This window comes from Homo sapiens, chromosome 2 (assembly GCF_000001405.40).
Source record: "Homo sapiens chromosome 2, GRCh38.p14 Primary Assembly".
NCBI classification, from domain to species: domain Eukaryota; kingdom Metazoa; phylum Chordata; class Mammalia; order Primates; family Hominidae; genus Homo; species Homo sapiens.
In genome coordinates, this window is record NC_000002.12 from 101,357,170 (window position 1) to 101,376,871 (window position 19,702).

Here is a 19,702-nt window from a genome sequence, read left to right on the forward strand (position 1 = left end):
AGCCACTGTGCTCAGCCCAATTTTTGTATTTTTAATAGAGATGGGGTTTCACCGTGTTGGTCAGGCTGGTCTTGAACTCCTGACCTCAGGTAACCCACCCGCCTCAGCCTCCCAAAATGCTGGGATGACAGGCGTGAGCCATCGTGCCTGGCCTGTGGGGAAGGGAACTTAAAGCTGTCACCTCCTACTAATCATGTCAGGGTGCCTATTTCTGGAAGAAGCATAAACAAGAGAATCTGATTCTCCAAATGTCATTTAGAGACTGGCTTCATGTAAATCCACAAGAGAAAGCTCTTCTTGGCCACAGCTTGTGCCTTATGCTGTTGCAAGCTGTGTCCATAAGTGTTTGGGAAGATGGTTCAAGGATGAGGCAGCACAATGATAATATTAGTCACTTACATTCACATAGTGTTTTCAGTATTTCTGAATGGCTTTGATGTGTATTCCATCATCTGCTGCTGTAGTAAGATTTGTTAATTTTTATACCAAGGACATTTGTACATCACCTCATTTTGTTTGATCTTCATGACAACCCTAGGAGGTTTTATTATTAACCCCTGTTTAGAAGTAAGAAAAGTGAAACTCAGAGGGGTTAAGTTGTCCAGGGCCATGGAGCTCACAGGGGTGCAGCCAGGCCTGTAGCACCCTACCTGAGGTCCTCTGGTCTCAAGTAGAAAGCTAGGCTACCTCCCAGCTACTTGGGAGGCTGAGGCGGGAGAATGGCGTGATCCTGGGAGGCGGAGCTTGCAGTGAGCCACGATTGCACCACTGCACTCCAGCCTGGGCGACAGAGCGAGACTCCGTCTCAAAAAAAAAAAAAAAAAGCTAGGCTACCTGTCATCTGGTCAGAGTCTCACTCTGTCTCCCAGGCTGGAGTGCAGTGGCGCGATCTCAGCTCACTGCAACCTCTGCCTCCCAGGTTCAAGCGATTCTCCTGCCTGTTTCCCAAATAGCTGGGATTACAGGCTCACACCACCATGCCTGGCTAAGTTTTGTATTTTTAATGGAGGTGTGGTTTCACCATGTTGGCCAGGCTGGTCTCAAACTCCTGACTTCAAGTGATCCACCTGCCTTGGCCTCCCAAAGTGCTGGGATTACAGGCGTGAGCCACCGTGCCCAGCCCCATCTGGTCCCTTATATCTGGGTATATCCCAGACTCCACCTCTCCTCTATCTCCCAGATCCAATCAGTCCCCAAGGTTTATGGATTCTTTATCCCAATATCTGATTATAAACTTTTAAATATCATGCTGGGACATTTTCTCAAAAGCTTGCCTTGGGGGTAAAAAAATACTACCACATGGGAAAAAAAAGAGCCTGTTGCATAGAATTGTTTATGATGGCAAAAATTGGAAGTAACCAAAAAGCTTAGCAGTGGGGAAATACAAATAAATTAAGTTTTATCAATACTATAACATACAGCCTTTAAAATAGATGAGATAGAGCTATAGGTGTCCATGACAAAGATATAAGTAAAACTGTTACAAGCAGTGAATCTGTATGGATCTGTAGCAACCTCAATTCCTGCCTCCTCAGAAGAAAGAATTCAGCTGAGGGGGGCATAAGGCAGAGTGAGAACTGAGGTGGCCGGGCGCGGTGGCTCACGCCTGTAATCCCAGCACTTTGGGAGGCCGAGGCGGGCGGATCACGAGGTCAGGAGATCGAGACCATCCCGGCTAAAACGGTGAAACCCCGTCTCTACTAAAAATACAAAAAATTAGCCGGGCGTAGTGGCGGGCGCCTGTAGTCCCAGCTACTTGGGAGGCTGAGGCAGGAGAATGGCGTGAACCCGGGAGGCGGAGCTTGCAGTGAGCCGAGATCCCGCCACTGCACTCCAGCCTGGGCGACAGAGCGAGACTCCGTCTCAAAAAAAAAAAAAAAAAAAAAAAAAAAAAAAAAAAAAAGAGAGAACTGAGGCAAGTTTTAGAGCAGGAGTGAGAGTTTATTAAAAAGTTTTAGGGCAGGAATGAAAGGAAGTAAAGTACACTTGGAAGAGGGGGCCAAGCGGGCAACTTGAGAGATCAAGTGCATGCTTTGACCTTTGACCTAGGGTTTTATATGTTGGCACACTTCTGGGGCCTTGCATCCCTTCTCTCTGATTCTTCCCTTGGGGTGGGCTGTCTGCATGTGCAGTGGCCTGCCAGCTCTTGGAGGTGAGCATGCACAGTGCATTTATGGGACTTGTACACATGCTCACTTGAGATGTTCTTCCTTTACCAGTCAAGTCTTCGTATAAGGTCACATACCAGTTAAACTCCGCCAGTTTTCGTCTTGGTGCACACATGTGAGCCCACTTACCCGGCTCCTGAGATATTAGTAGGAAGTCGCTGATCACCAACTTCAGGTTTTTTCTATCTATTGGGAGACTACCTTTCCCTGGCACTGGGTGTGACCAATTATTTTTTTAGAGAGACAGTTAACAACCACCTGACCACCACCTGATAGTCACCCGACATTCCTGGTGGGGGTGGGATTGGGCCCTCTCCTGGCCTGCTCATGTCTGACTAGCTACCTACAGTAATAAAAACAGTTGAAGAAATTTTAAAAATCTCTGGACCTTCAAACTCCTTATGCCAAAGGGAAGGTTAAGCCTAGAGGTTGAGTTATGCAACTCCCTCTTCCAAATAAATCGCTGTTACCAGCATTATGCATCAACCAGACTCCCTGGGAAAAGATGAAAGGCTTCAGGGGTCTCCAAATGACTGCCCGTAGAGACCATTCATAAGAATTTTTTGCTGGCCTCCCATAAACAAGGACATGCCAATTGCAACTTTAGGTCTGCAATCTAAGTCTGGCTCCTGAAACTAAAGTCTGTTTGATTCCATGCTGATAATGGAATTGACATTCAATTGCAAGCTTATCTTCCCAGGTGCAGAATAAAGACAAGACTAGATCAATCATTCCTCTGCTTACCCAGAGACATCTGCATAATAAATTCTTCCTTTACTCCCTTTTTTTCTTTCAAACATTCACCTTATCTTATGTAAAATGTTGATTTACTGGGCACTAACTAAAGTCTCACAAAGATATAACCATTGCCTTACCACCTACCTGCCTCTCTTCCTACATGCCTTTCTCCCCTTTAAGAAAATGTACAAATACTAAACCTCCTGAAAACCTCTTCAGGAAAATAGCCACAGATAGGTCTGTGGCTTGCGTGTTCCTGGACATGCACTGAGGTTACCTTAATAAATCTCAACTGATTGAGACAGTTGCTTCAGTGACTCATTTTGGTTATCAAGAAAAATATGTGCTGTGTGGCTCCATTAAAAGAAGAAAGAAAGGGCTGGGTGCAGTGACTCACACCTGTAATCCCAGCACTTTGGGAGGCCAACGTAGGCAGATCACCTGACATCAGGAATTCGAGACCAGCCTAGCCAACATGGGTGAAACTCTGTCTCTACTAAAAAAATACAAAAATTAGCCGGGTGTGGTGGTGGGCAGCTGTAATTCCAGCTACTCAGGAGGCTGAGACATGAGAATAGCTTGAACCTGGGAGACGGAAGTTGCAGCGAGCAGAGATTGTACCACTGCACTCCAGCCTGGGCGACAGAGCAAGACTCAGTCTCAGAAAAAAAAAAAAAAGAAAGAAAATTATAATCTGTGGTAGTTTTGATACTGGAAAAATGTGGTTGTTAAGTTGTAAATTTTTCTTCTGAGTTAAGATGAAAGAATGATGGAATGTAATCTATGTAACAAAAGCCAAATCTATATCTTTGTAAAAATAACTGAGACGCATAGGAGAAAAGAAGTAAAAATTGTAAGAAGAAACTGAATTCACATATATGAAAAATATTTAGAATTTGTGTCTGAATGATACTGTCATTAGTTGCACCCAATTTATTTGTTCACTATTAAAGCTAATTTCTTCATTAAATTGTTCTGTGATGAAAGCAATGAAATTAACCTTCAGATGTAAGTCATTATAGAATAATAACACAGTACATTTACATAGGGAGCATTTTTGCTTCTCTACTGTGGGTAATTACATAGAAATAAAAAGGAGATTATATATTTTAAAAGGCAAATAGAAAACTTTGCATTTACACAGTGGAAAACCCAGCTAAACTTGGTATCACTTCCTTCTACATGTGGTAGACAGGCTAATGGCCCCCCAAAGATGTCCACATCCGAATCTCTGGAACATGTGAATATGTTCCCTTACATGGCAAAGAGGAAGTCGGTTGCTAATCAGCTGATTTTGGATGGGAAGATCATCCTGGATGATTTGGCTGAGCCCAAGGCAATCACAAGGATCATTAAGTGGAAAGCGTTGAAGTGATTTGACTGAGAAAGACCTGCCTGGCCATGGCTGGCTTTGAATACAGAAGGGGCACGAGCCTTGGGTTGCAGGCAGCCTCTGGAAGCTGAGAAAGGTCAGGAAACAGACTCTGCCCCAGGGCTTCCAAAAAGGAACATAGTTCTGCCAACGCCTTGGTGTTAATCTGGTGAGTCCTCTTTTGGACTTCTGACCTCCAGGACAGTAACATGATAAATCTGGGTTACTTTAAGCCAGTAAGGTGTGGTAATTTTTTGCAGCATCAATACGAAACTAATACACCATCTAAAGGAAGTTGGATGGCAGCCCCACCCTTAGTCACAGGAGTGCAACACAACTGTGGTTACTGGCAGCTGCACCCCTGAAATGGCCAGCAAATGCAGCACCAGCTAGGCAAGAGGGCCCTGAGCACCCTGGGGACCCTGATGCATGCTGTCAATTGGTGAGAGGCTACTTTGGTAAACAAGGGCTGTAGGAGGTGTTGCCCCTCCTCTGGGTAACAGATCTCATCTATTGTTGAGGCATCCACTTCCCTCTCACACGCAGCTTCAGGAACCCTAGTCCATCCCCAGGTCCCGAGAACCTGGATTGCCTAAGCCAACCAGCATATTCCAGTCCCTGGCTATAGTGATGGATTCAGGGACCGGCACAACAGCAAATTTGGTCACGAAAGCTCAAGGAGCTGCTTGCTGAGGACTTCCAGAGTGGAAATCCCCCTAACTCTTCTTTGGAGTCTACCTGGAGAGATGCTCACTTTTGTTGGACATAAACAGGGGAGGATCCGTACCTGGGGGGCAGCCACACTGGATTACAAAGGAGCCACCCTTAAAATGAAACAGACACCACAGGAGAGAGGGAGAGAGAAAAAAAATCTCATTTCGTTGACATTGTTTAGCCCCTAAGAAAATCCTTCCTCTGAATTTTTCAGTTAAGTGAACTGTTAAATTTCACAATTCTTTAAGTCCATATGAGCTTACTTTTCTATTTCTTTCAACTGAAAGGTTGCTCACTAATTACAGGGCTTCAAGTTTCTGGAGCTCTGTTTGTCTCTGTTCTTAGATGTGGTGGAGGCGTGCCCACCTACTGTTAGATGTGTTAATAGCAATCAATGAGCTATTTTTCATAAAGGCAATAAAGAAGCACCCTGGGGTGTCCCTTTGGGCTCTCTACCTCCTGCAACTTGAGCGAGCTTACTTATTTCATTTGTGTTTCACTGGTGTGGGTGACCCTGGGAGCTGAAGGACATGGGCTGTGCTGATTGCATCTCTCCTTCAGGCCAGTGGACATTCTTTTGGGTATTTCTCCCCCTTTCACCTGACTTTAGAGTCAGCTACCCATGCCCTGTGAGGATGGGCAGCTTGTAAACCAAGAGGATTCAGGTCTCAAGGGTAGGACCAGAAAAGCCTGATCCAGGCTCTCAAAGTGGCCATCTGGGGAGCCCAGAGGGATGTCCTTCCTGCCTGAGGACCCTGGTGGAGAGTGGCAGGAGCTGTCCTGGACTGTGACGTCTGCCCTCCGGACCCTGACTGTGCTCACTCATCGAGGCTGGCCTGGTCCCCACCCAGCACTCAACAGGTGGCCTCTGCTGGGTGAAATGCTTGCATACCCAGCCAGGAGCTTCTTTTAACCTTTTTATTTTTATTTTTCCTATAACAGGGCCTATAATGGTATGTGAAGATTCAATCTAGGGAGTCAAGGGATCAAATATCTGTTCTTAGCGGGTGGGTTTCATGCCCAAGGCATGGACGCCATTGTACTGGGGATTCCAGAATGCTTCTGAATTGGGAGAATGATCAGTCACAGCACTTTGTATGCAGCGGAGTGGATTACATGGACCTGAGGAGTCATAAAGGACACAATAAGGCAGTGCTCTTGTACTCAAATGATCTCCAATTAAACGTGAAGCTTGCCTTCTGGATAGTTAACCTTCTCGGAGATAAGTAGTCCTTCTCTTGCTACAACAATTTCTTTTACACTCATATTTTTATGGGCTACAATTTTGTAAGAGCTTCACAAGGGATGCGTTTTTCTAAAAATACATGTAACCTTCCCAAACACTTTATGTCTTGATAGTATATTTAAAAGTCTGTTTTATTTTTATGTGTTTGTGTTCAGTGGTAAAGAAAAATATTGGAGGAAAGGATGTATTACGTTTTTTGAGGATTTCAGAAATTATACCTATATATAAACATACTGAACAAATGACATTAAAATATTTGTTTAACCTTTGATTTTTTTATAATATAGAGAAAATTGGCCGGGCGTTGTGGTGCACACCTGTAGTCCTAGCTACTCAGGAGGCTGAGGCAGGAGGATCACTTGAGCCCAGGAGACTGAGGCTGCAGTGAGCTATGATCATGCCATTGCACTCCAGCCTCGGTGACAGAGTGAGACCCTGTCTCAAACACACACACACACACACACACACACACACACAGACACACACACAGGAAGAAAGGAAGTGGATTGGACCACCCAATCCTGCAAATGATAAAATCACCATCATTGTACAATGGTTCTCAACTGGGAGAAGTTTCCTCTCCATAAAAGGCAACTGGAAATCTGGGGAGCATCTTGGTTGTCACAGAAACCGGGTTGAGGGGCTCTATCTCCTTGCACTTGGTTGGCAGGGGTCAGGAATTCTAAATGTCCTGCAATGCATGGGACGATCTTACACAAGGAACTGTCCTACCCCAAATGCCAATAGAACCCATTGAGATATGTCACAAGGCTTTGTCTCTCCCTGATGTATCCAGCCAGATAGTAACAGAAGGAAGGTAGGTGTAGACCAGGCTTTCTCAACCTTGGCACGGTTGACATTTTGGGCTGGATGATTTTTTGAGGTGGAGGGCTGTCCTTCGCATAATAGAGTATTTAGCAGCATTCCTGGGCTCTACCTGCTAGATGCCAGCAGTACCTCCCACCCCAACCCAAGTTGTAACAACCAAAAAGGTCTCCAGACATTGCCAAATGTCCCTGGGGAGGAGTCTCTCAGCTCCCTGTTTGAGATCCACTGGTGGAAATGCAGGTAAATTTTTCGACTTAGTGGAGGGAGAGGAGTGAGTTGCCTCGTGTGATTTCGTACTGTGTCAAATAAGTATGGGTGTCATCTGCAACTGAGAGAGAATGAAGGGGAACGTTTAGGTTTGTTCTTTAAAAAAGGGCTCTTACTGGGGAAATGAAATGGGATGTTCTAGGCGTGCTGAGAATGCATGTGAGGATTCTTTTCATGAATTGAAAGGGGCAGCCTCAGTTTGGCCACATGGTTTCCCTGGGCAGACCTGAGCCACCTGGGTGCAGGAACAGAGGAGGTGGAAGCAGGGCTTAAAGGGGCTGGGTATGGCCAGGCAGGAGGCAAGAGGGTCAGAGGAGGTGTAGGTGGTCTCAGGGCAATCGTAAAGATAGACCATGGAGTCTAACCTGGGCAAAGAGAAAGGGGAGCCAGGACATGCTGACGGGTGGGAGGATCGTGATGGGGGCAAAGGGTTGGCAGCTCCATGTGGTCCAAGCATGTTGCAGGAGGGTTGCACAAGCAAGAAGCGTAGGAGGCGTGGAATGGAAATTCTGGATGTGGTGCTTTTGCTAGCAAATCTGGAGTGTGGGTGGTGAGAACCTGGCTGGAGAAGCTGGAGTGTAGGATGCGCCTTCCACACAGTGCTGAAGGCAAGAACAAGAGGATGGCAGCAGAGAGGAAAATGGTGAGGCCTGCAGCTTCCACTGCCAGTTTTATTCCTGTTCCCTAGGGTAACCCTAGAACAAATAGGATTCTCCTGTTCGGTGCTAGCCTTTCCGGCATCTGCAGAAAGCACTGTGTTGTTCCTGAGACTGCTCCTTTCCAGGCTGGCTGCTTTCAGACATCCCAGCTTGTCAATGTTCCTGTTAAATTATGGGATCCAGAACTGCCCTTGAAACTCCAGCAGGAGGTGAGCAAGGTTGGGGAGGCGTCTCACCTCCACCACCCTCTACTCCATCCTCCTAGGGATGCTATCCACAATAGTTCCCTGATTCATCATCACAGGAAACCTATCAAAGAAAGGAATGGTCTTTGGTATGACATCCTTCCCAACCAATATTGTCTGTAGGTGGTCACTTCTTCCTATTCTTAGGGCACAGAAAAAGCTTGTCTATTTTATTAATATCTTGCTTTTAGTTTTTATTTTATTTTACAGCATACCAGTATAATGCCTCATACTGTCCTAGTTAATTTTTTTCCCAGTTTTGTTCATCCTTCTTGGCACCATTTTCCTGGTTATGACATTGGCTTCTCTTGACAAATTTCTATGTCTCCCATATATGTATTTTTCAGTGTCTCTCACTGTATCAAGCTTCCAGTTGGTTCAACCCCAGAATCCTTCCTCTGGCTTCCAGAACCCTTCCCCCTACTTTTCAGGGTATTGTGAAAGGTCAAGGAAGCAGAAACCTCCTACATAGAGTTCAGATAAAACCCCGCCCTACCAGTAGACCCTTTTGGTCATTCACCCAATTGTTCATTCATCCACAGTTTCACAACCATTGTGAAATTAGATATAAGAGAAATAAGCAAATATAAATCTGCCCAAGTTATTATTCCCCAGTTTACGTTATTCCATCTTGTCTATGAGAATATGACCATGCAAGTTTCTTCGAATGCCTCAGGGAAATCCACAATAGTTTCCTAATTCATCATCTTAGGAAAACCATAAAAGAAAAGGATGGTCTTTTGACATGACATCCTTCCCAACCAATATTGCCTGTAGGTGGCCACTTCTTCCTACTCTTAGGGCACAGAAACCATCTCTTCAACAGCCGTTCCAGAATCACTATGTAAGTTATTTGTGTTTACCCACAGATCCTCCCAACCTCTGATTTTTGAGACTCTGAATGACGCTTGCCCATTTTCAGGCTGTTGATGTCTCTTTTACTCCTCAATTCAATGTTCCCATCCATGACTTCCCTGATTTCTCTGAATGAAATGTGTATTGTTCAGAAGCCTTGGACATACAGTTGGCCTTCCACATCCATGGATTTTTGCATCTGTGGATCCAACCAACCACAGACTGAAAATATTTAGGAAAAAAAAAGCTACAGTACAAAATAAGAAAATAATACAAATAGGCCAGGCGCAGTGGCTCATGCCTGTAATCCCAGCACTTTGGGGGGCTGAGGCAGACGGATCACCTGAGGTCAGGAGTTCAAGACCAGCCTGGTCAAATGACAAAACCCCATCTCTACTAAAAATACAAAAATTAGCCAGGTGTGGTGGCATGCACCTGAAATCCCAGCAACTTGGGAGGATGAGGCAGGAGAATCGCTTGAACCCAGGAGATGGAGGTTGCAGTGAGCCGAGATCGCGCCACTGCATTCCAGCCTGGGCGACAGAGTGAGACTCTGTCTCAATAATAATAAGAATAATAATAATACAAATACAAAACCAATATAGTATAACAACTATTTACAGAGCACTTAAATTGTACTAGGTATTATAAGTAATCTAGAGATGACTTAAAGTACGCAGGAGGATGTGCGTAGGTTATATGCATAATATCCCATTTTATATCAGGGACTTGAGCATCCACGGATTTTGGCGTCTTTTGGTGGGGGGCTGGAGGAGGGTTCCTGGAACCAATTGCCCATGGATACCAAGGGATAAATGTATGTGTTTAACTGGAAGAGTGGTCCATTACATTTCCTTACTCATCTTGGGTTAGAATTTTCTCTTATCCAGTGTCAAATGTTGTGATTCAATAGACACTGGCCAGCCACACACAACAGATGGCACCAGAAAAGGGGGGATGTGGACCCACTTCCTGGACAGGAGAGCAACAGGCGTGTTCGAACAGTCCACTCTTGAGAGTCAAGGAACTGTCTAGCAAGACGGTTCAATGTATGATGACCCCTTTCCTTTGAGTTTTCACATTTATGTATAACTTTGATATGCTGAGATTATATTAAAATTTATCTTCATCAATTGAATCTCACATGTGTTTGAGCCATTTTAATTTCTATATTTAAAACATTTGTATTATAAATAAGTGCAATCATGACACCTCTAACATACCAAAGAGGGCTGTAGCATACATTAGAATAAATCACCATGTTTCTATCTCCAGTTGCACATCCATTTAAACTGTTACTTCCATCCTGAGGTAGGTGGAATAGCAGCTCGCCCAAAGATGTCTTAATCCCCAGATGCCAAAGAAGTCCTAATCCCCGGAATGTGTGAATGTGACTTCATATGGTAACAGGGACTTTGCACATGTGATTAAGTTAGGGATCCTGAGAGAGAGAGATTATCCTGGATTATCCAGTGGGCCCAATATAAACAGAAGATCCTCCTAGAGGGAGGCAGAAGTTTCAAGTGAGCAGTAGGAGGTGGGATGACAGAAGCAAGCCCTGAGATTGAGGTAAGCAAGGGGCCACAGGCCAAGGAATGCACGCGGCCTCTAGGAGCTGAAAAGGCAAGGAAACGGCTTCTCCTCTGTAGCCTCCAGAAGGAAGCAGCTCAGCCCACACCTTGGTTTTAGCTTTGTGAGACTCATTTCAGACTTCTGCCCTCTAGACCTTAAAAGAATGCATCTGTGGCCGGGCACGGTGGCTCAGGCCTATAATCCCAGCACTTTGGGAGGCTGAGGTGAGCAGATCACGAGGTCAGGAGTTCGAGACCAGCCTGGCCAACATAGTGAAACCCCGTCTCTATTAAAAATACAAAAAATTAGCTGGGCATTGTGGCGTGCACCTGTGTTCCCAGCTACTTGGGAGACTGAGGCAGTAGAATTGCTTGAATCCGGGAGGCGGAGCTTGCAGTGAGCCGAGATTGCACCATTGCACTCCAGCCTGGGCAACAGCGTGAGACTCCATCTCAAAAAAAAAAAAGAGGGAAAAGAAAAAAGAAAAAAAAAAAGAATACGTCTGTGCTGTTCTAAAGCACGAAGTCTGTGGCAATTTCTTACAGCAGCAATGGGAAATGAAAACGCTCTTCCTTAATGCCCCCATGAATATTCCTCATATGCAACCAATAAATGGCCCCACACTGTGCTCAAGGCTCTGCACTTGTTGAGGGCTGCAGACAGCAAGAAAGACGTGGTCCTGGCCTCTGGGGAGCTGCACTCCAGCAGGAGACACAGACACCAGACGGCTTGCCACGCAATTAGTGATTTCATCACCTGCTATTACAACATGGAATCCTGAGAGTCAATGAAGTTCTGAGGGTCAATGAAGGCTGAACCCTAGAAAATGAGTAGGAATCAGATAAGGTGGTGGGCAGGGAAAGCACGCTAGACAAAAGTGCTTCCAACCCTCCTGAATGGGATTAGTGTCTTATAATAAAAGAGGCCCCAGAGAGTTCTCTGGCCCCTTGCCCCAAGTGAGGGCACAGTGAGAAGATGCCACCTCTGAACCAGAGAGCAGGTGCTCACCAGACACTAAATCTGCCTCAGCCTTGGCCTTCCACCCTCCAGAACTGTGGGAAATAAGTTTCTGTTGTTTCTAAGCCACCCAGTCTGTGGTATTTTGTTACTGTTATTTGCACAGACTGAGAGCCAAAAGGCCACTGGGACCAGGATAAAGACAAGGCAAGAGAGTGATGTCCGAGGCTGGAACTGTGCCGGGGTGGGCCATTTAGGCTTCGCAGGATATGTTAAGACTTTAGAACTTTCTCCAAAGAGCAATGGGAAGGATTGAAGAATTTTAAGCTGGACAGTAGAATGATGAGACGGGTGTTTTGAAAATATCCCTCTGGCTTTAGAATGGAGAATGGGTTGATCCAGGGAGACCTAGTTGGGAGAATTTAGAATACAGTGAGTGATGCCAAGGGCTTGGGCCAGGGGGTGGAGAGAAGCAGTGAGTCGGGAGAAGCCTGGGAGGTAGAGCAGGTGAGCCCTGCAGACTGGGTGGGGGTGTGAGAGGGAGAAGGAGCCACAGCTGGCAGCTGAGTCTGCCATGCAGACAGGGAGCCCAGGTAGAGGAGGCCTCTGGGGAGGAGAAGAAGCGGGGTTCGAGGTGCCCAGGAAGCAGGTGGACTTGGGTCTAGAGCTCAGATGAGTGGTCTCAGCTGGGACTATACATTTGGGAGTCACTGGCACATATGAATGGAGGTTTGAGGGTAGACTGGATAGAGCAGGAAGAGGTGTAGACAGAGAAGACACCACTGGCTCAAAAGAGCTTCTCTCTCCCACCAATCTTCTACAGGCCGATAACTTGTAGGGGATTTAACACAAGCAGCTTGAAAGATGCGTATTTCCATGTGCGTCTTATACCTTCTCCCTCCCCTCAAAGGCAGATGCTCTCTTTTTTTCATATTTATCCGTGACGGTGTTTAGCATGGCTCGTTACCCAGCAGATGCTCAGTGAGTATTTGTCCACGCGAATGCTTTATTGGAATAGGTGGCCTGCATGGACCTGCGTGCACGTATTTAGAGCAAGTTTCATGTCTTGCCTCTGTTGCAGTGCAAGCCTATGATGGACATGATATTCGAACAATTCAAATCAACTTAAAAAATACTTCTGTGTTTTTGTTGGTTCTGCATCAGTGCTTTCTGAAACGTGGTGGGGGTTCTCACTGCCTCTGGGATGCAGCTGATTCCACAGAGGCAGGGAATACAGTGGGTAACAGTCCGGCTCGGGAGCCAGGTTGCCTAGGAGTGAATCCCAGCCCTATGAGGATTTGGCCTGTGGATCCTTAAGCAAGTCCTTCACACCCTCTGTGCCTCAGTTTCCTCATCTTTAAAAAGGTGCTAACAAGTGTACCTCTGTCTTGGGACTCTTATAAGAATCAGGTGAGTTATTTCTATAACTCTTCATGTATACCATATACTGTTCCTCCCTTTATACATAGGAGGGTTAGAGTATAAATAGGGCACTATTAATTTCCATCTTTTTTTCTGGTCTCTGCCATCCCAGTCCTGTGCAGAAGAAACACCTGTTACTGACCATAGCTACCATTTATTGGTGCTGAGAGTGTGCTCAAAACTTTACACAAATTGAAACGTTTCATCCCCACAGTGGACCTAGGGTACTATTATTCCCATTTTAGGGTGAAGGAGATTGAGAATCAGACAAATTAAGTTTCTCAAAGCCAGGCAGATATTAATGGGAGGGCTTAGGACTCAAATTGATGATCCTCAAATTAGAAGCCCTTTTCTCTAATGTCGTGATCCTCTTATTTAACTGTGGATCAGGAGTACTCTGGCTGTTCCTTGAAAGTGCAGATCCGAAGGCCCTTATTTTCAGAGACTGCTGGAGCCCAGAATTGGCATTTTCAACAGAATCAGGTGGCTCTCCTGGGCTCAGGCTGCTCCTGAGCAGGGTTTAGTCATGCTGAAGCCCACCAAATGGTTCCAGAATCAAGCCCAGCAGGGTCAGGCTGGCCTCAGACCTGCTCCCAGGCCCTGAGCTAGCAGCCAGGCTGAGAAAGCAGGTGTCAGGGTCACCCCAGGGCCCTCTTGGCTCATCTTCAGGATCAGGTGATCCTCTGGGACTGAAACGGGGCACGCTGGCAGCTCCCCGCCTGCTGAGGGTCTTGCTGCAGTGCTGACCTCTGATTGGAGGCCACTCTGAAACCACGTCTCAGATTCCTTCTGAGTTCCCTCTGCCATTTCTGCAGACACTGCCAGGACCTGTCCTGGGCAGGCAGATCTCTTGCTACTCAGCCCTGGGTCCCTGTGCCTCAGCCTGGATGGCAGATGTCAAGAATAGACCCATGACCCCTGCCCCCTCCCCGTAGAGGCCTCCATGGACCAAAGGAAGCCTCAGGGGGTGCTCTGCCTTTTTTCTTTTTCTGCATCACGGAGGATCCAGGAGGTGCCCCCTAGTCTAATATGCGACACATGCTATGGAGTGACGCCCTCCCTGCAGTGCCTGTTCAACTGTCCTTTCCAAAAGCCTGCTATTCATCTCGTTAGAGATGCACCACAAACAATGCATTTAAAAAGGGACCTGCCTGCCATTTGAATGGGTGATTCATTTAAAGGGAAGAAGGTGGCTACAGGGAGAGCAGAGGCCAAAGGGAAAGGGAGGCTGAGCCAGGATTGGAACTGTCTGTAGAGACCACGCAGCAGAGAGCAGGATATGGTCATGAAGACTAACTGCTGCACTGTCCATTTTTCTGTCTTGCTATTCTCAGCCCCTCAGCCTCCTAGTCTGAACGATGAAAGGCAGGAGTGGATGGCCAGGGCCCTTCCAGGCCATAAATACTTCTAAGCACAATGGAGTCTCATCTTATTTTACAGGGGAAGCTTTGCTGCTTCGAGGGTCACACTGGCCAGCAGCCCCAGCTGGCCTTAGCTCTCCCCGTGCTGCAGAGACCTCAAGGACAAACAAGCAGGATGGAAGTGGCTGCACAAACCAAGGTCAGCAAGGCTGTCCTAGAAGACCAGGGAATGGTATGGGCTTTTCAGAGGGAGGAGCCTTGGACTGGGAAGTCCCAGGAGGCTGAGTCACAAGAGAGGAAGACAATGAAATCCTGGGGAATAAATCGGTGAGGGAACTCTAGTCCGTAGGACTAGAAAACTGAGATATAGTCTTAAGATGAGAAGAAAGAGGTAAAGAAGGGAGGGAACACCAAGGAGGAGCTTAGTGTCTTATTTTTGAAGGCCAGGTCAGGTTGGGCAGGAGCTGGAGATGATGGGTAGATGGATGGAAGGACTTACAGATGGGGAATGAGGATGTCAAGGTGGGGGAAATGGCAGCCACGCTGTGGAACCCTACTCAGCTCCCCTATTGTGGACAGCCTTGGTGTTAACTGTTAGGGGACTTTGTATATGTGGTCACGTGTTACACCTTGTTGTCTTGATTCAAATGATGGTGACAAGTAAGCAAGGAGGCAAGAAGAGCCTGTGCCTTTAAGTGTTCACGCCTACGCATGCCTGGCTTATAGTAAGTGCTCAGTAAATCTCATCTGAAGGAAAAAAGTCTTATTTTCATCACAATATTTAATACGTTGTCTTGTACTCAGTATGCTTAATTGAATTGAGTTTATCATTAGTATCTCCCTACCTCGTCTTTATACGTTTGGAGTAACAGCTTTCCCTCCCAAATTCCTTTCAGTTAATTGAAATCTTTTCTCATGTTTAGACACTTTCTTACCATTTCTACACACTAGAGAACTTAGGTACACTTCTTTGTCATCTCAGGAATGTTACTTTAATTATTTGCTTATCTGATGGGAAAAGCCCAGCCTATAAGCACAAAAGGACATTGACAGAGAACATGTGCAACTGGAATGTCAATATTGAATCCTCAGCAGTTTTCCTGCTTCTTCCAAGACAAAAGAAGAGAAAATTAGAGAAAGACACATAAACACAATATTTGCAAGTCATATATCTAAAAAGGTTCATATCTAGAATATATAAAGACTCTTACAACTCAACAATAAAAAGATTACCAAATTTAAAAATGGGTAAAGGGTTTAAATAGACAGTTCCCCAAAGGAGACATACAAATGGCCAATAAGCACACAAAAGGATGCTCAGCATCGTTAGTCATGAGGGAAATGCAAATCAAAAACCACATCAAGATATTACTTCACACCCACAAGGACAGGTATGATAAAAAAGACAGACAATAACAAGTGTTGGTGAGGACAAAGGGCAATCAGAACCCTCATACATTTAGGAAAACAGTTGGGCAGTTCTCCAAAAAGTTAAACACAGTTACCATAAGACCTAGCAATTCCATTCCTAGGTATATACCAAAGTGAAATGAAATCATATACCTGCACAAAAACTTGTCCATGAATGCTCATAGCAGCATCACTTATGAGAGCCAAAACATGGAAACAAATGTTCATCAACTCATGACGAATGGATAAATAAAAATGGATAAATAAAATGTGGTATATTCATGCAATGGAATATTACTCAGCCATAAAAAGGAATGAATTATAGACACATGCTACAACATGATGAACCTTGAAAACATTATGCTAAAGTGGAAGAAGTCATTCATAGAAACCCATATATTAATGTCCAGAATAGGAAAATCCATAGAGACAGAAAGAAGCTTAATGATTGCCAGGGGCTAAAAGTCCTGAAATGAAACCCTTATGTCCATCTTAACAGCCCTGAAAGCTTTTTGGTGGATGTATATTTATGGGTGTCACATCCTCATCACTTATTTGTGTCATTTCTGCTTAAGATGGAGTCATGTCTAACAGATAAATAAAACATTGATAAGCTGGATGGGGACAGGTGGTCAGAAGATGGAGGAAAAGGATAGTGCAATGGCAGAGGAACTACAATCATTAGTGAATTCATGAAATAGACAGGAACCACAGAGACAAAGCTCAACAGAGTTGAAATAAAATTAGGGAGAAAGAAGTGACTGCAGGTTACTATGATATATGACCTCGGAAACCAGAGGAAGGTGAAAGAGAATACTTGAACACTGGCTCATCAAGCTTTCTCTTTACAAAGTTCTCTGACTCTTCCTAGACAGCTGTTTTATTTATTTTTATTTTTTGAGAACAGGGTCTACACTCTGTCACCCAGGCTGGAGGGCAGTGGCACGATCGCTGCTCACTGCAGCCTCAACTGCCTGGGCTCAATGGAGCCTCCCACCTCAGCTCCTGAGTAGCTAGGACTATAGGCGTGCACCACTACACCTGGCTAATTTTTTTATTTTTTGTAGAGATGGGGTTTCACCCCATCGACTCAACGGCCTGCCCTGAGTCGTTTTTAAAAGAGCTATCCGCCAGGTGTGGTGACACACTTTGGGAGGCCGAGGTGGGTGGATCACTTGAGGCCCAGTAGTTCTAGACAAGCTTGGCCAACATGGTGAAACCCCATCTCAACTAAAAATACAAAAATTAGCCAGGCATGGTGGCGCCTGCCTGTAGTCCCGTCCAACGGGAGGCTGAGGCAGGAGAATTGCTTGAATCTGGGAGGTGGAGGTTGCAGTGAGCTGAGATCGCACCATTGCACTCCAGTGTGGGTGACAGAGCAAGACTGTCTCAAACAACAACAACAACAAAAATGACTCAGGTTAATGTTAGCTCTAGGAATACAGGAAGGTGCAGCAAAGAAGAGGTAACATGAATCAGAACACAGAGCAATTTATTTAAACTTATATGTTCCTTTCAAAAGGAATGAACAAGATTCAGTGAAGAGAAATTGGATTCAGTTTCTATAACCGATTAGGTCTGGGCCCTGGGCTTTGAAATGCACATTCTGTCTCAGGTGGATATAGACTCCAGACAGAGATACGTCTTGGCTCTTAGCAAGCCAGCTGCTGCAAGCAGGTGCTCACTGTGTGTTCGCTTGATCCAGCTCATCTAAAAATGACTGAATGAATAGAGTGCTAAATCCAGTTCTAGGGGAACAAATCCCAGGCCTGCCTTTGGAATTAGATTGGTTTGAGGTTTTCATCTATCATTCCACATTTTCTTCCTACCAGTATAGTTAAAAAGATGGAGGCTGGGGGAGGAGTGGCCACAGGCCATTTTCATTTCCAGAATCTCTTTTTACTTTTCACACAGAAGAAACAATTAAACTTGGTGCACCCTCATTTAGTTGTGTGCACTAAGGGTTTATCTTGAACCCACAACATAAAGGCAAACTGACCCGCCTGCTGACACCCTCCCCTCAGTTACTCTGCTTCACAGAAGCAGTTCCTCTTCCTGTTGATGTGTCTGCAGTATAAGGGACTGCCTATGAGATAGGGCAGGGATTACATCTACGTCCCCGCACACTATCCCAGTTTCTCTGGTGTGAGCAGTCCCTCTCTGGTGTGTGATTCCTCAGTGCTAATTTGCATCTTCAATATGCGCCCCTACAAGCAAGTTGTTCCGAGGGATCCTCATTTCTGAGAGGCTTCCATTCTAGGTCTCATTGAGGCCCACTGGGCTTCAATCCATTCCATGGTCTGGCACCTCCCCTCAGAAACTAGATTCCTTTGCAAACTGGAATCTATTCAGTTTGCAAAACCACACCGAGGCCTGTCAATCAAAGGGCTCTGCCAAGAGCCACTGGTCATGGTGGGGCAGGGACGCCTTCATCCTGGGGGAGTAAGAAGGGGTGTGGCCCATGGCCATCTTTCATTAAGAGCCTTTGGAGGAAGAGGAAAAAGTACTCCTGGATCCTCCTTTCTTGATAATCAAACCAGTCTACCTAGGAAACTAGCATGTGTCCAAAACTATCAATAGGAATGTTTTCAGGAGCCCTCAGGAGTGAGGTGGCTGAGTGCCCTCTGTGGCACCCCAGGAGGCCGAGCTCTGCTTCTCCAAACTCCAGTGGTCAGACCTGCTCACGTCTAGGCATTTCCTCGGGACCACCCTACCCCAGGACGGGGTGGGGTGCGGCACATTCACCTGACACCGAGCCACCATTCTGGCTCCAAGGCTGTGTCTCTCCCCTGAACTAGTGAAAGGGCTGACAGTGTTTTACTCCTGGACCTGCTCCCAGCTGCTTATCTGAACCATTGCTCTGCAAGGGCCTATGCTGCGGCTGCACCCCTTCCTCTCCACAGTCACTGGGGCCTTGGACAAGTCGTTACTGACTGTGTTCAAGGGGGTGGATCTCAGAAGGCTGTCAAGGCAGGCCTGTCGGCAGTTTCAGCTTTCAGCTTTGCTGGGCTGTGCTGTTTCAACTGTCACGACATGGGCATCTGCAAAGCTGCTGTCATGCTGTGGAAGCTCTGATCTTTTTGATGGAATACTTTAAACCCATGCATACATTTATGTAGTCGGGAGACACCTGTCCATGCTTATGTTATTGAAGGAAAGGGAAACTGGTGTCTGCCTCTTCGCCTCTGCTTTCTTGTGCCATTCAACTTACAACAGGGAGGAAATAACAGAGAAGTCCGTTGAACAGACATCTTCTCTTAATCACGTGGTTATTTTCCGAATTTAATTTTTTTCTTTTTCTTTTTTTTTTTTAACACAGAGTGTCACTCTGTTGCCCAAGCCGGAGTGCAGTGGCCTGATCTCAGCTCACTGCAACATCCACCTCCCGGGTTCAAGCGATTCTCATGCCTCAGCCTCCCAAGTAGCTGGGACTACCGGCCCCCACCACCAAGCATGGCTAATTTTATTGTATTTTTAGTAGAGACAGGGTTTCACCATGTTGGCCAGGTGGGTCTTGAACTCCTGACATCAAGTAATTTGCCTGCCTCGGCCTCCCAAATTGTTGGGATTACAGGCATGAGCCACCTCACCTGGCCCAGAATTTAATCTTTGAGGAAAAAGGTTTGAGAAGAATCTTACCCAAAAATTGTGAGACCGAGTTCTGTATTCTGGTAGGGTTGCCTCCCAGCTTCTCACAAGACTCACAGTATAACTCAACATGATACGAGCTTTTGCCTTTTAATTTAATAATCTCTTAAAGAGAATCCAGCTTTGTTACCATCACATGATCAAATTTCTCCTTTATTTGCCCCGGGAATAATGGACAGAGGGAAATACTGTTAATTCATGAAGAAAAACTTTGCAGAAAATTAGACAGTGTTTAATTTT

General features: G+C 45.8%; 1 protein-coding gene and 1 pseudogene across 1 annotated transcript in view, besides 1 other annotated feature; one reads left to right on the forward strand and one right to left on the reverse strand.

Annotated features, from left to right (window-relative positions):
• CREG2 (cellular repressor of E1A stimulated genes 2) overlaps window positions 1-19,702 on the reverse strand; it is a 41,954-nt gene that overhangs the window by 11,620 nt on the left and 10,632 nt on the right. The gene's annotated exons all lie outside the window — the stretch shown is intronic.
• Window positions 13,328-13,829: an enhancer, noted in NCBI's record as "H3K4me1 hESC enhancer chr2:101986959-101987460 (GRCh37/hg19 assembly coordinates)". NCBI's record gives its function as "activates a minimal SCP1, AML or CMV promoter by ChIP-STARR-seq in naive H9 embryonic stem cells {active_cell/tissue: H9 hESC(naive)}" and the evidence as "EXISTENCE:reporter gene assay evidence [ECO:0000049][PMID:30033119]".
• Window positions 17,226-18,889, forward strand: LOC107985789 (succinate dehydrogenase [ubiquinone] cytochrome b small subunit, mitochondrial-like; annotated as a pseudogene).